This window comes from Homo sapiens, chromosome 10 (genome assembly GCF_000001405.40).
Source record: "Homo sapiens chromosome 10, GRCh38.p14 Primary Assembly".
Taxonomy (NCBI): domain Eukaryota; kingdom Metazoa; phylum Chordata; class Mammalia; order Primates; family Hominidae; genus Homo; species Homo sapiens.
Window position 1 is genome coordinate 104,052,606 of NC_000010.11, and position 14,241 is coordinate 104,066,846.

At 48.7% G+C, this 14,241-nt stretch overlaps 1 protein-coding gene across 1 annotated transcript in view, besides 2 other annotated features; it reads right to left on the reverse strand.

Moving 5' to 3' along the window:
- The window catches only part of COL17A1 (collagen type XVII alpha 1 chain), a 54,595-nt gene that overhangs the window by 21,320 nt on the left and 19,034 nt on the right, over positions 1-14,241 (reverse strand). Inside the window, exons 10-23 of the mRNA NM_000494.4 lie at positions 11,833-11,991; positions 11,142-11,213; positions 9,653-9,724; positions 8,800-8,868; positions 7,514-7,675; positions 7,033-7,113; positions 5,541-5,585; positions 4,370-4,567; positions 3,177-3,398; positions 2,767-2,796; positions 2,376-2,402; positions 1,487-1,513; positions 1,315-1,377; positions 426-530 (exon numbers count right to left, since the gene is read on the reverse strand). Of these exons, the coding sequence (NP_000485.3) occupies positions 426-530; positions 1,315-1,377; positions 1,487-1,513; positions 2,376-2,402; positions 2,767-2,796; positions 3,177-3,398; positions 4,370-4,567; positions 5,541-5,585; positions 7,033-7,113; positions 7,514-7,675; positions 8,800-8,868; positions 9,653-9,724; positions 11,142-11,213; positions 11,833-11,991 (1,332 nt within the window). The remainder of the gene's footprint in view (positions 1-425; positions 531-1,314; positions 1,378-1,486; positions 1,514-2,375; positions 2,403-2,766; positions 2,797-3,176; positions 3,399-4,369; positions 4,568-5,540; positions 5,586-7,032; positions 7,114-7,513; positions 7,676-8,799; positions 8,869-9,652; positions 9,725-11,141; positions 11,214-11,832; positions 11,992-14,241) is intronic.
- Positions 477-1,063: an enhancer, noted in NCBI's record as "H3K27ac-H3K4me1 hESC enhancer chr10:105812840-105813426 (GRCh37/hg19 assembly coordinates)". NCBI's record gives its function as "activates a minimal SCP1, AML or CMV promoter by ChIP-STARR-seq in primed H9 embryonic stem cells {active_cell/tissue: H9 hESC(primed)}" and the evidence as "EXISTENCE:reporter gene assay evidence [ECO:0000049][PMID:30033119]".
- Positions 1,376-2,575: an enhancer, noted in NCBI's record as "CDK7 strongly-dependent group 2 enhancer chr10:105813739-105814938 (GRCh37/hg19 assembly coordinates)". NCBI's record gives its function as "activates an origin of replication core promoter dependent on BRD2, BRD4, P300/CBP, MED14 and CDK7 cofactors, with strong dependence on CDK7, by STARR-seq in HCT116 cells {active_cell/tissue: HCT116}" and the evidence as "EXISTENCE:reporter gene assay evidence [ECO:0000049][PMID:35650434]".

The window sequence follows — 14,241 nt, forward strand, 5'->3', positions numbered from 1 at the left end:
GCACTGAACCTATGTCTGGGGCCTTCCCCACCTCCCTCTTGGCCTCCTTCCAGCTAGGAAAGGCTCAAAGGTCTGTGCCCCACTCCACCTTACAATTGACTCTGCCCTGCCCTGCCCCCTGAGCCCCACCTCGGCCTGACTCCTCACCCTCACCACCCAACTCCAGGAAGGCCACTGCTCCTGTGACCACTTTCCCGGTGGATTCCAGGGATGTCAGATGGGTTCTCAGCCCTAGGCCTGGCCCTGTAGCCCAGCCTATGCCCAGCGTCTCTGCAGGGCCTAGCACAGACCCTGACTCAGGGTGGGTGCTCAGTAAATGAAGGAAGGGGGGAGAAACAGAGACAGAGTGAAGGAGGGACGGGTGTTGACAGAGAGAAGGAAGCACAGGCATAGCTAACTCTGCCGGTGAAGGAATTGCCTCTTACCTCTTTCCCCTTTCTCTCCAGATCCAGGAGGCCCTGCCTCACCACGAGGTCCCATGGGGCCTTCTCGCCCTCTCTGGCCCATGGGGCCTTCCATGCCAGGATCTCCTAAAGACAGGGATGGCCAGCCTCCAAGTCAGGATCCCGTACCCCAGCTAACGGCTCCACAGGCAGCCTCCCACGGCAGACGCTTGCCTGGAGCCCTTCCCTGGCCTCCCTGCTTGCTTCTCTCCTGGACCCCATAGCCTTGGCTCAACCTGGAAGCCAGAGTGACCCTTTGAAAATGTGAGTAGATCATGTTCTACCTCTGCCCCAAACCTGCACATGGCTTCTCAACTCACCCAGAGTCAAAGCCAAAGTCCTTACACTGGCCTCTGAGGCCCCACACAGCCTGCCTCCTCTCGGCCCATCCCTTTGGACTTTCCAGCTCAGAGGTCTTCCCCTTCCTGATGCTCCTTAAAAATTGCCCTGGGGCCTGAGCCTTGGCCTTGGCTGCTCCCTCTGCCTGGAATGTTTTCCCTAGATCTCTCCTGCTTGGCTCCTTCTTGCCCTTCGAATCTTTGCTCAAATGGTGGCCTCTCAGGGAGGCCTTCCCTGGCTTCCCTGTGTAAAATTACTCTCCCCAGCTCTCATTCCCAAAATCCCTCCAGGCTCTCCTTTCCCATGTCGTGCATCACCCGTAAACTGCTATAGACTTCACTATTTCTCACAGTTACTGTCTTTCTCCCAAACCCAAATCTCAGCTCCACAACAGCAGGGTTTCTCTGTTTGGTTCACTGGTGTCTCTCCAGAGCCTAAAACAAGGCCTCACATACAGCAGGCACTTAATGAATGTTTATTAAATGAATGAAAGAATGAGGAATAAATGAATAAAGAAAAATGTGTTTCTTACCCACGCTGCCTTTTTGACCCTTTGGTCCTTGTGGACCTGGGTGGCCCAAGGGCCCAGGGATACCTGTGAACACACAAGGATATCTCAGCCCCTGTTTTCCTCCCAGAAGCCATCAGCTAGGATTGAGCAGCTGCAACACTGGCAGGCCTGGAGGTCATCAGAGAGTACATACCTGGAGTCCCAGGGAACCCTCGATCTCCTGCAGGAACAAAGGCAAAAGAGAGAGTGGTCAGCCAGAAGACTGTGCCCAATTCCCAAAGCAGTCACTAGTGGGATTCAGGTAGGGTTGCCAAACTTAGGAAATAAAAATGCAGATGTCCAGTTACATTTGAATTGCAGATAAACAACACATAGTTTTAGTTATAAGTATGTCCCATGAAATATTTGGGACAAGTTATAGTGAAAAATTATTTGTTGTTTATCTTCAAAGTTAACTGGGAGTCCTGTATTTTATCTGACAACTGCAGGTTCAGGTACTCTGGCAGTATCAGTCCCCACCACTAACATGGTCAGGAGGGGTGTGCGGGCTGGAGACTTGGGGAAGGAGGGCTGGGACAATGACCCAGGTATATGCGAGGGTGTGGGTGGCAAGGATCTGAAGGGAAAGAAGAGACTCGAGGGCCCCAAAGTGGAGGAGCTGACTTCCTGCCCTGGGGTTGCCTAGGGAGTGAGGAGGGAGCTGGAGAGAGGTGGGATCCTGTCATCTTGAACGTGGTGCTCAGTATTCTTCTGGCTGCAGAATCACCGTGGATGACTAAGATAAAGACTCCTGCCCACATGCATACCCCCTGAGTCAAAGGCTCGGGAAATGTGGCCCAAACTCTTTTGGAGATTCCTGTGCACAGGGAAGCTCGCCAATCCCGGTCAGCTGGACCAAGGAAAACTGCTCTGTGTCCAGCCAAAGGTCCCTGGGATTGGAAACCTCTCCTCCTCACACACCTGTCCCATCTGTTGTCAAATTACTTCTTGGAGTGCAAGGTGGGTTTTCTGACACTTGCTGATTGTTTGAAACAATTAACACTTGCTAATATTTAAGGTAAAAATGCCCATGTTATAATTACCTTTAGGGCCTGGACTTCCCATGTCACCTGAAACCAGAAAGATATGAAAACTGTGAGATGGGGCAAGAACCCAAAGGCCATACTCTGCCTTGTATTTTAAAACCATTTGACAAGATGTAAACTGTATTTCAAGGTGAGGCGACATGCGGCGAGTCCCTCCCAGTCCCAGAGTCTATGTCATTTGGGCTCATTGCTGGGCTTCTCTTAGATGCTGCCTTATCTAAGATATTCTGACTCTAAAACCAACAGATACCTCCCAACAGATACCATAAGATCATTCAGCTCTTCATCCTTCCATTTAGAACAAAGAAAAAGGCTTCTAATCTACCCAGAAAACTCACTTCCAACTGCAGGAAATGAATCAGAGACAAGGTTCAATCCATGGCAATACCTTTAGGGCCAGGGCTTCCTCGGAGATTTCCTGCAAGAAAAAGCAAATCCTGAGTCAGCTTCACATCTCCTGTCACACACACACACACACACACACACACACACACACACAATAAGGGGATCATGGTATGGGAAGAAGAAACTGAGGCAAAGACTAGAGATCAGATTCTAAATTTGGCTAGTCCAGTGATCTTGAGCAATTATTCTTTCCAGAACTCAGTTTTTCCAGGAGTAAAGTGGGACCACAGTCTTGGTCCCACCTACCTCTCAGCGCTATTGAGAGGATCAGGGGAGGAGAGAGGCCGAGAGTGGGCCGGATGATGGTGCTCACAGCACATGCACACATACCACATAGATGCAAAGAAGAAAGGGACTCAGGGGAGCTGGCCCTGTGCCCGGCGATGCTCTCACCATTTTCCTGTTCCATCATTAGCTTCTTCCTCACGAACATCCAGAGCTCCTCCTGGCTGTCACTGTGCAGCCCAATTTTGTCCAGGTCTGCTCCCGCCGCGGGTGCCATGCCCTGGAGGCGGTCCTTTTCTATTCTATCCATGCTGTCCCCATAGGGCAGTATGCTCCTCCTGATCCTCTCCAGCTCATCCACACGCGCCTTCAGCTTCCTCACCTCCTCCGCTGCAACAAACAGACACACACTGCGTCACTGAGGGCCCGGTCCTTCGCCTTCCATACACTCGCTCCTAGTGGAGAGCCTGACACAAGGGATTGGGGCCTGTGGTGGCTTCTTCATGCTAGAATACTCATGCAGAGATAATCTGCCGTGGCCACCAGCAGGATTAGCTGCTCAGCATCACAGCAGAGCCTTAAAGAAACCTGGCCTGGGAGTCAGTCTTCTCATCTGAGCTGGGTGACAAAGCTTGTCCTCACTCTCCCTGTGAGGTGGTGTGAGAGCTGATAGAAATAGATATGGCTGGCCAGGCGCGGTGGCTCAAGCCTGTAATCCCAGCACTTTGGGAGGCCAAGGGGGGCAGATCACGGGGTCAGGAAATCGAGACCATCCTGGCTAACACAGTGAAACCCCATCTCTACTAAAAATACAAAAAATTAGCCAGGTGTGGTGACATGCGCCTGTAGTCCCAGCTACTCAGGAGGCTGAGGCAGGAGAATCGCTTGAACTCAGGAGGCGGAGGTTGCAGTGAGCCGAGATTGCACCACTGCACTCCAGCCTGGGCGACAGAACGAGACGCCGTCTCAAAAAAAAAAAAGAAAGAAAAAGAAAAGAAAGAAAAGAAATAGATATGGCTGCTTGGAAACAGCAAAAGTCAAAAAGGCTAAGAAAGTCCTGACCTTGTTACCAAGGGCAGCCAGGTGCTTAGACCAGGGCCTACAGGTGTAGCAAGGGTGGGGCTGAGCATCAGGCGCTGCATCCAAATTCAGCTCCACCACTAAGTGGCAGCATGTCCTTGGCCAGGTACCTCCTGGGGCCTCAGTTTACTCATCTGCGGTAACAAGGGTCTGCACCAATGCATTCAGGTCCCCTCGCCCCCTAACACGTGGGCCCATTCACAGATTCCTGCCCTTCTGACAGGCAGTGGGGCTGGCCTGCCTCCTACCACACAGGCTGCCCTGCTGCCTTTGCCACGTACCCAGAGCAATGAGGCCGAAGAGCAGCCCCAGGAGTAGCAGCCAGGTGAGCAGCAGGCCCAGCAGCCACTTCCACCAGCTGCAGCAGGAGCCGCAGGGGCACCAGGCTGGCGCTGGTCCCCAAGGGCCGCCGCCAGCGCCACCAACACCGCCACCTCCTCCACTGCCACCACCACCACTGCTGCCGTAGCTGTGGATATCTGTGAAAGAGACAGGGAAAATGAAGCAAATGCAGGCAGCTCCTGCCTTTTCCCTCCAGATTCTCTGACTTTTGGTGACTTTCTGGCCTGAGTGACTACGACTGGGGGCTTTCAAGTTCCTGTGCTGTTCCACCCAGGACAGGGCTGGCTCCTGGACTGAGCACAGGGCCTGACTGGTGCTGACCAGAAGTCTGGCAATCCTGGCTCCAGCTGTGTGAACCTGAGAAGGTCACTTCACCTTTGTTTCCGTTTTTATAACATGGGGTTAAAAGATTGCCTCCTTCTTGGGAAGGTTGTTGAATGAAATAGGACAAGGAATGTAAAATAGTAGAGGAGTTAGCAGCACAGCACGAGGCTTAAACATCTTTATTTTGAATATAGCATTGGTCTGCATCTGACTGGGCCCAAACCTAGAGCGTTCCCATCTCCATGCCTCAGTTCACACAGTGCTTTCTTTAATCCTTACAGTGCCTAGAATTATACTCAGCTCTTCAGGGGTGCCTAGTGAATTAAAACAATGTTTTTTGTAATGAAAAGTGTTTTTAGTTCCCTAAAATGGGGTGGTAGGACTTGACCTGCTTCTATCACACGGCGGTGGAAGGAAATGAGGAAAGGCTAAGGGGCTGGAGGCGTGCATGGCTTAGTCTCTTCTTGAGCTGCTGTGTAAAGACACAGTCACCCTGTTGTGTTAGGAGACAACCTAACTAACAAGTGTTAATTAGGGGCAGCTGGGGGCGGGGGGCCTGTTAGCTTCATCCCCTGAGCTAAGCTCCTTCTGCGGCCACCTCTGACCCACAGCCTGCCACTCCCCTGACCCCCACCCTGCTCCCTTCTGAGCCTTTAGGGAAACTCTTTAGAGTCTGGTGGCTTCTGTGCACTGCACTGCTTCCAGGCGAGGGACCATCATCTGGTCCATTAGCCATAAGCAGCCCCACTGGATCCTGTCACTGCAGGGTTCGCGGTTCTCACCCACCTGCAGTGGTGGTCTTGCCCTTTGTGGACACAGTCTTCAGGTCTCCTGAAAGGACAAACAGATTGACCTGAGCTTTTAAACTGGAGGAGCTAGCTGCTCTGCCTATGGAGTAGCCATTTTTTTATTCCTTTACTTTCTTAATAAACTTGCTTTCAACGACGTGCAGGAACATCCAGCATCTCAGTCCTCACTAATCTGATATTTGCGATAATTACATCCATGAAGACATGGCTTGGCAAACAATTAATGGTGGAAGAAAGCACTATGTTTTAATTCTCTTATGACCTTAAACCTTAACACCTCAAAACATTTTTGGAACACCAAGTTATGGGTGCCGCTTGCATTCAAACAATAAGTGTGGTTGTGAGAAATGACTCTGATTTCTTGGTTAAGGGACTCTGAACACAAGTTCCTGACCTGGGGTGGAAGGAATTGGGAATGAGAAGGATGAGCTTGGAGGAGGATTGTTCCTGAGTCCGTGATGCTATTTGAAAGTTGAGTGTTTAGGCCAGGCACGGTGACTCACGCCTGTAATCCCAGGACTTTGGGAGGCCGAGGCGGGCAGATCACGAGGTCAGGAGTTCGAGACCAGCCTGGCCAACATGGTGAAACCCCGTCTGTACTAAAAATACAAAAAAATTAGCTGGATGTGGTGGCACATGACTGTAGTCCCAGCTACTTGGGAGGCTGAGGCAGGAGAATCATTTGAACCCGGGAGGCAGAAGTTGCAGTGAGCTGAGACCATGCCACTGCACTCCAGCCTGGGCAACAGAGCAAGACTCCGTCTCAAAAAAAAAAAAACAAAAAAAGAAAAAGAAAGTTGAGTGTTTGTGGGCATGTGTAGAATTTACTCGGCAATTTGTTCATACCTTTCATCAGATTCTGAAAAGGATCTTTTGACTCCACAGCCCTAGACCTACCCCTAAAATGTCAGGAACTGCTAACTTTAAAGACTTACAGTCAGGTTCCAATCTCTCACCTTGTTAAAGTGATAACTGATTTGATTGGCATTCATTTGAAAATGTTCTATGACTTAACATTTTCCTTCCTTTACTGACCTCCCTGAAATCAGTGATTTGGAGAGATTCCTATAGGGCATCGTCAAGAAATGTGGTTATCAGACAAAGAACGCAGATATTTGGGAAGAAAAAAAAATAAAGCTAACAACTGCTTTGCAAAGCATTTTTCTATTAGTTCTGAAGATTATGGAGAAAAAGTAAAATGAGAAAACAAATGCCTTCGTAGACATGGCAGAGGCAGGCTTTTGCTTCAGTAATGCAAATGCAAATCACCTAGGAAGCTTGTTGAACTGCAGCTTCTGACTCAGCAGATCTGAGCTAGGGCTGGGATCCTGCTTTTATAACACACTCCCAGGTGTGGCTGATGCTGCTGGCCCGTGGACCACACTTTGAGTAGCAAGGTCTCCGAAGACAATGAAATGAAATGTGGCCTGGCTGAAGTCAAGGTGGACAACAATCATATTTGTTCTTACCATTAGCTTCGGCTTTTAGGCCTGAGTCAGCATTGTAGGCAGCTTGCTTTTCTTTTTTTAGGGTGTCTTCTGAAAAAGAAGCTATGTACAGAACCCATTATAACCTGGCATATTCTCTTCTCAACCTCTCAACTCTGTCCTGTGTTCCCCCCGCCCTTGCCCACTACCCTGCTTGGGAAGGTCTAGGTTAGACTGGTAAGAAGAGCCCCTCTTTCCTGGGGTTCATCTCCCCTGATCTGTGTTTGCGGTTAGACTTGCTGTCGCCCAAATGCCTCTCTGAGAGCTCTTTGCCTGAATTTTCTCAGCTCATCTGCATTCAAGGCAGACCCTGGAACATACTATTCAGACAGGTGCTTTTCATTAGAATGGGATGGCTATGGTTTCATGACTCATAGGGTCCCAAACCACCTTGCTAGGACATTTGGTCTCCTACACTATTTGGCTTTCTTCTGAAACCCAAGCCACACAGGATCTGACGCACTTGCAGCGATGCTGGCAGGGGAGGCTGTAAAGACCTTCCCGCTGTCCTTGGTCATGATGAGCAGCTCCATCTCCTTCTTGGCAGGTGTGTTGTCTTTCTCTAGGATCAGGAACTTGCAGTCCTTGTGCAAAAGGTCATCGCTCTGCACACTTGTGGTGCAGGCTGGGGAGAAAGAAAATGGGTAAGAAGGAAGGACATGTGCCAGGAGAAGGGAGAGGGGAGAAAAGACAAGAAGAGGAAGGAGAAGAAAGAGAAGGAGGAGGGAGGTAAATTAGCAGGTGTGTATGAGGGTCTCTTGTTCTTGCTGACAGTGGTTACTATGAAGCATCTTGGGGACCAAGGACACCCTCTATGCCTGGCTGGGCCTGGCCACCAAGAGTTTGGGTCAATGTCAGAAGCTCTGGATGGCTGGTTTATGGGGGCTGCCTCCCCTCCTGGAGATTATAGGATCTTTATTGAATGGGTAAAAGTCCCCCAGTCAGGTAAGTCCTTCCTTAACTAACTTGGGTTCATTTTTATCCTCCAGGTCTTAAGAGTTGCCTTCTTGAGGAGGCTTTAGCTGACTACCCCATCTAAAGCACTTCACCCTCATACACACACTCCTATCTCTACCACATTACTTATTGCTTTCCTTATAATCTGTATCCTTTTCTGTAATTATCTTGCATACTTTATGTGTTTGTCGTCTGCCTCCACCACTGACATCAGCTTAGTGAAGGCAGGAATCTATCCTGTCGTGTTCACTGCTGTACTGTCAGCACTTAGAACACTGTCCATCTAATACAAAGAAGGTGCTCAGTAAAGGCTTTCCAATAAATGAATTGTTGAATGGAAGACAACACACTAGGATTAGAACAATGGAGGAAACAGCTCACTGTATGGTGCTGAAATATGTGGACAAAGTTGATATAGATTTTGTAGAAAGCAGGGAGGGTGCCAGCAGTTTCTGAGGGCTCCATGAGCTGCATGTAACAGGTGAAGGCCAAAGGCTTCCAGTCAAGGGCAGTGGCTAATGTGCAAGTGCCTGGCCCTAGGCAGGTATGGAGGGTGGAGCTTCCTGCCCCCTTCTGATAGGAACATTCATGGGAATGTTCACCTTTATTCACTCATGGAAACATCCAAGAGGCCTTTGGGGCAAGTTGCGTTTGCAGGCCTAAGACCACTCATGGGTCCTATTTCCTCTTCCAGTATACCATGTGTATTGGAAGGATACACAGGCAGGATTACTGCAGAGTAATCCTCCCTGTGCACCAGCCTGAACCCTGGCAGCTGGGAGCAGCACTCACCGGCGGAGGTGGAAACGCCAGTGTTCACAGCCGCAGGACTCTGGGGCATGTTTTTCTTCACCCCATATGCTGCAAGAAAGGAAGCTGGGTCAGCATGGGAGGGTGGTTCCAGGTGACTCAGGAGAAGCCTGATCAGCCCTGGCAGAGAGGTACCCCCGACCCTCTCCAGTGAGAAGCAGATGATGAATCAACTCTCTCCAGCCATGGGGACAGTAATGAGGGTTTAGATGGAACGTTCTTAGGTATAATCCTCCTCATCCTTCTAGCTACTTCCAGGAAGTCCTCCTAGACCCCCATGCATCTCCTTCTCTCCTGAACTCCTACAGCCCTTAACACCTGCTCTGCATGGCCTATCACTTATTCCCATTGTCTTATAGAGCCTCTCGTTGTCTCATGTGTGTTAGACTTTCTCTTCCAATTAAGTAGCAGGCAAGTTGGAGGCAAAGGCTGACCTAGGTTTCATGTCCCCAGTCACCCCCAGGTTGGCACAGCGGTGGCAACCTGTAGGGGGTGCACCATAAAATCAACCAGATGATTGATTTGCAGTGACAGTGGGCTGTCAAGGACAGCAGTGAGCTGGCAAGACCACCAACCTAACCAGTTTGGCTGTGAGAGACACAGGAACATACAAGTGATGCCTTACAAGGTGATGCTGTTGACAGGACAGCCTTCCCTGTGTGCTTGACTCATGTCTGAGCCAGTTAATGATCAAGATTGATATCTTGAGTGTTGTGTCTTTGGTGGGAAAGGTCGACTGATTTTCAGGGACATTTTGGGTCTCCTAATTCAGTGAGTTGTAGCTGCAAAGAGGTGTCACTTTCCAGCGCCTAAGCTCCAACCCTAGCCTACTGACCTGTGGAAGTGGTGGTGGTGCCATGGGACAGGGTGGTCAAGCTGGGGGCCAGATTGTTCTGCATGCCAAACACTGTGAAAGCAACCAAGGTCAGGTGAGTACAGGGAGCACGGGGGATGCCCCCTGGCTTAGGACGGCCCCCAGAGTCCCAAACCACTTTCATGATCAATGGTTTTGCCAACAGATTCCCAAACTTCCTCGGTTCCCACACTCTTTGTAACGTAGTAAATTTGTTAATACCCCCACCTACCTACCCCAGGCCAAATATTACTAACAGTTCTACTTATTACGTAGTTAGGTCCATCCAAGTTAAAAGCAGTAGTTTGCACAGGGTCTGACAGATGTTGCTGACAGATCTCTCAAAATTTTAAAATATCATAGGGGTTCCCTGTTTCCTGTGACACCCTGGGGTGCCTTGGTGCACAGTGTGGGAACTGTAAGCTTAGGATATGGACACAGACACCTCGGGTGCTGAGAGGCACTAACTTGGCAGACTCCTAGTATTCCCGTTAGCCCTTCCTTCTCCTGACACAAACACATAAAACTCCCCCACCTCCACTATGGTTTCGAAGGCTCCTTGTTTATTTGATTGCTTGTTTGTTTGTTTTCAACAACGTGCAGAAGCTTATTCCTCCTGGCCAGCAGCTTTGTTATTTAGGGCACAATATCAAGGATCTGGTATCAGCCCACCTTCCCTTGGGACCTGGTTTTTATCAGGACTTTGCAAAGCAAAATAGCAAAGGCAGAAGAAATAAAACATGTAGCCAATGTCTTCTGGATTTGGTGGGCCTCTAGTCAACTGGAGGAAGGTGCTGAAAATCTGAATGCAAAACTTGTACTTGCCTCTATATCAGTCAAGTAAATAAACAAGGCCCACATCATTATGTTTATTAGTCACATTATCACATGGAGAAGGCAGACTCCTTTAAAAAGAAAAGATGTAGGCTGGTAATATTTACATATAGGCTCTTAAGATGTATGTGGAAACATAGCAAATAAATATTTCTTTAAAATTGTTGTTATGTTTGCATTGGAAGATAAGCAGTAACATTATTTACCCCAATATAGTTACTCCAACAAACTATGTGTTATATTTATAGAAAGATCTGAAAGTAGTTACTCAATGAATTCTATTTTTCTTTAAAAGATCTGAAATAAAATCCTTCTAAATTAACAATGCCTTTACCCTGAAAATGTCCTACACGATGATTCCGTTAGACCCTTCATTTCCAATCCTCCAACTCTTCCAGAAAATAAAGGCGCCACCTTAGAATACGCACGTCAATGTGGGCTCACGTCCCCTCGCCTGAGACTTTTCCCTTGGGGTCTGAGTTCTCCCTGTGGTTGAAGGCAGGTTCTGTGCAACCCTGTGCCTCTGCTTCTGAGCTGCAGTATGCATGGAAGAAAGGCCTTCATGCTCTTGGGTGAAGCATCCTAACACTTCTATGCAAATAGCCTGGAAAAGTCATCTCAAGATGGTGACACTGACCTGAGGAGGATGTGCTGAGTCCAGGGTGCAAAGTGGGTGAGCAGGACGCCATGTTGTTTGGAACTCCGAAGACTGCAGGGGCAAGGAGGAAGGCTGGTGAGAGGGACATCTGGCCCAGATAGGGATAGAGATTTGGATACCACAGAAGCACCAGAAGAAATGCCAGGATTGGGTTTTTATATTTTGGTAAATTTTTGTTTTTAGGAAAAACAGGCTCTTGCCTTGCAGCAGAGAATGAAACACTAGCCTGCACTGCACCTTGGGTCACAGCCAACAGGTGATCTCAGGTCTGTCAAACCTGGAGTGGACAGTGGGTCCAGCCAAAGGCTCTCTTGTGAGTGACCCCACTTTACAGAGATGGTCCCTGAAGCTCAGAGAAGTCAAATGACTTATTCAAGGCTCCACCGTCAATTCATATGAAATGAAACTAGATCTCCTACATCCATTTTCAGTGTTCTTTCCAGTTTTCCTGATACACCGTGCTATATATTCTAAAGGGGACGCACCAGAAGCAATACCTTCTAGATTGAATTGAACTGAAGTTCCAGGGGGAATCTCCTGGGATGTTTGGCCACAGAAAGCCTCTCCAGGAGGCCCTGAGGATGGCAAACATTCTGAGGGTCATCCAGCTCCAGGATAGAGGCATGCCGAGTTCAGGGGTGAGAGAGGGTGTGGGCTGCCCGCCAGGTACCTGATCCCGCAGAGTAGGCATTGGTGTTGAGGAGGGATGAGCTCTGGGTTGTCATGTTGTTGTGATAGGTCCCCATGGAGGACCCCGCGGGCAGGGTGGAGGACCACACATGGGAGGGAAGGTTGGCATCCAGGATCGTTGCATCGTAGGTGCCTGACACTGGAAACAGACACATGCACACACCCCAGTGAGAGACAAATCAACACTCCCTGCTGGGGAATCTAGTCACCTCATTTTGCTGGGATTTCCTGGTTTGGGCATTGAAAGCCCCACATTTCAGGAACTTTCTCAGTCCAGGAACCTGGGGTAGTTTCCATCTGAAATCTCAGAGCTGGTGAAATCATTATCTCTTGGATTAGAAATTTTTGCTGGCTCCTGGTAAAATCTGAGGTAGCCAAATTTTGCCTTGGGGTCCAACAATTTCTCCTTCTAAACCTGGCTCCCCATCTCCTGGTGGGCTGTCCCACCAATGGCATTCCTCTCCAGCTGTTGCCAACTCCTCCATCTTCAAAGACGCTGAGGGAACAGTTCTTTCAGGAGCAACAAATGAGACCCCGAAGAGAACCTCTTTCAGTAGAATTCCAGGCACCATGGCCATTGCAGGGTGCATGCCTGGGCAGGGGAGTCCTTGGTCTGGGGCCACACTGCATGCCTGGCAGCCTTCTCTGGTTCCACCCTCCTTAAACATTCCTATGTACCAGCCAGACACTGTGCCCCCAAGAGAGGATTTTCCTGCTTCTTCATATTTGGGGCCAGTTCTGCATATTTGTCTGTGAGAGGGAGCCAGCCATGCAGGTCAGAAAGTGCCCTGATGTTTTGGTTTTAGGGTGAAAAACAAGAAAGATCACAATCTCTAGGCTTTTCTCCAGTAGTGAATGGGAGGGATGTTTCCTATCATAGTAGATCTAGCTTTTTCCCTCACCTCCCTCCACGGCTCTGCTAATTTATATTTCTGCCTTCCACAGAACCTATCTTGCACTTGGGGGACATGTAATATGGAACAGCTGAACAATGCTCATCCTACTTGACTGGGACATGTTGGTTTTCTGACTTCCTCCAGAGACCCACTGTCCACAAGGGCAGTGACTGTGTCTCTCTTGTCCATTGCTTTTCCTCAATGCCTGGTGCTTGGCATAGAGGAGACATTTAATAAATAGTCACTGAATGAATACACGAAAACTCTACACATTTCCCCAGTATTCTTCATTTGGGGGATCTGGCCAACATACTGTCCTGGGAGAGAATCTCTAGGATTTAGGGCTGGGCTATGCATATGGAATGGGTGACCAGCCAGGGGTAGGATAGGTACAGCCCACTTTTTTCACTGCTTGAAGAGAAGGTGCTCAGTGCTTTTCAAGGTCTCTGGCAAAGCCTGAAAGGCCTGCCAAGGCGTGGTTGAATCCCCAGGCCAGGATAGATCTGCCACCTTGTTGCCTTTTCTCCTGAAGGAAATAATGTATACAGTGGTCCATTTCCAAGACAAAGTTTCTTAAATCAGCTTAGGTCAGCAAACTACAGAAGAAACAGGATATACTAGGCCCCTGCTTGGATAGCTAATGCCTGCTTGTTGGTCTCCCCTTCCCCACCAGGTCCCCCCACTTAGTTTCCCTCACTCAGACCAAAGAAGTTTAGTCTAAGGTAAAAGTTTACTAGACTGCAAAATAGCTCATTTTTGTCTGTTCTTATCAGCTTGCCCAGCTACTTAGGTCATAAGTCAAATACTTGAAGAGCCCCTAAGCTAACTAGGATTGCAATGCATTGTGGGCTGCAACAAAATGCACCAAGACAACCCTAAACAAACACCTAAAGCCCCTGCCCAACAAAAGAGGGAACTAAAAAGACACCCTCTAACATTCTCCCAAATAGTCCATTAAGGAAAATGCTGCAGGTTTTTAAGGGCTAACCCTTGAACCAGGGACAAGGAAAAGCAAAAAATGATAAAGTATTGCTGTTTTATCTGGGCCAAAGAGCCCATTCATCAGCCTTCAGTCTTTTGGCCTAAGTTTGGCTCAGACGAGGATTGGGTGTGCCAAGCTTTAATTCTCTATGTGAATAATAAAACCCCATCCTCACAAGAGGAGACGGGTTATGCTCTTTGTTAAATTAGTGAATTAACCCCCATGCTCCCGCTTCAAGAGGAAAAAAAAGAGCATAGTAAAAAGCCCTCACCCAATAAAAAGCTCTGGAATCCCATAACACGCTTGCCTCCACTTTACATCTCACAAAGTAGAGGACAGGGAGATCAGGGAGTAACAGGAAGGCTGGAGGAAGAGGAATCTGGGGATCATAAAGAAGCTAAACCCAATGCTCCCGTAAATCCTTATCCAAACTTGAGGAGAGAATTAGAACAATGTAAGAAGGACATTGAGAATTTCCCTATTCCTTCTAAACAGCAGATGTCTAATATGT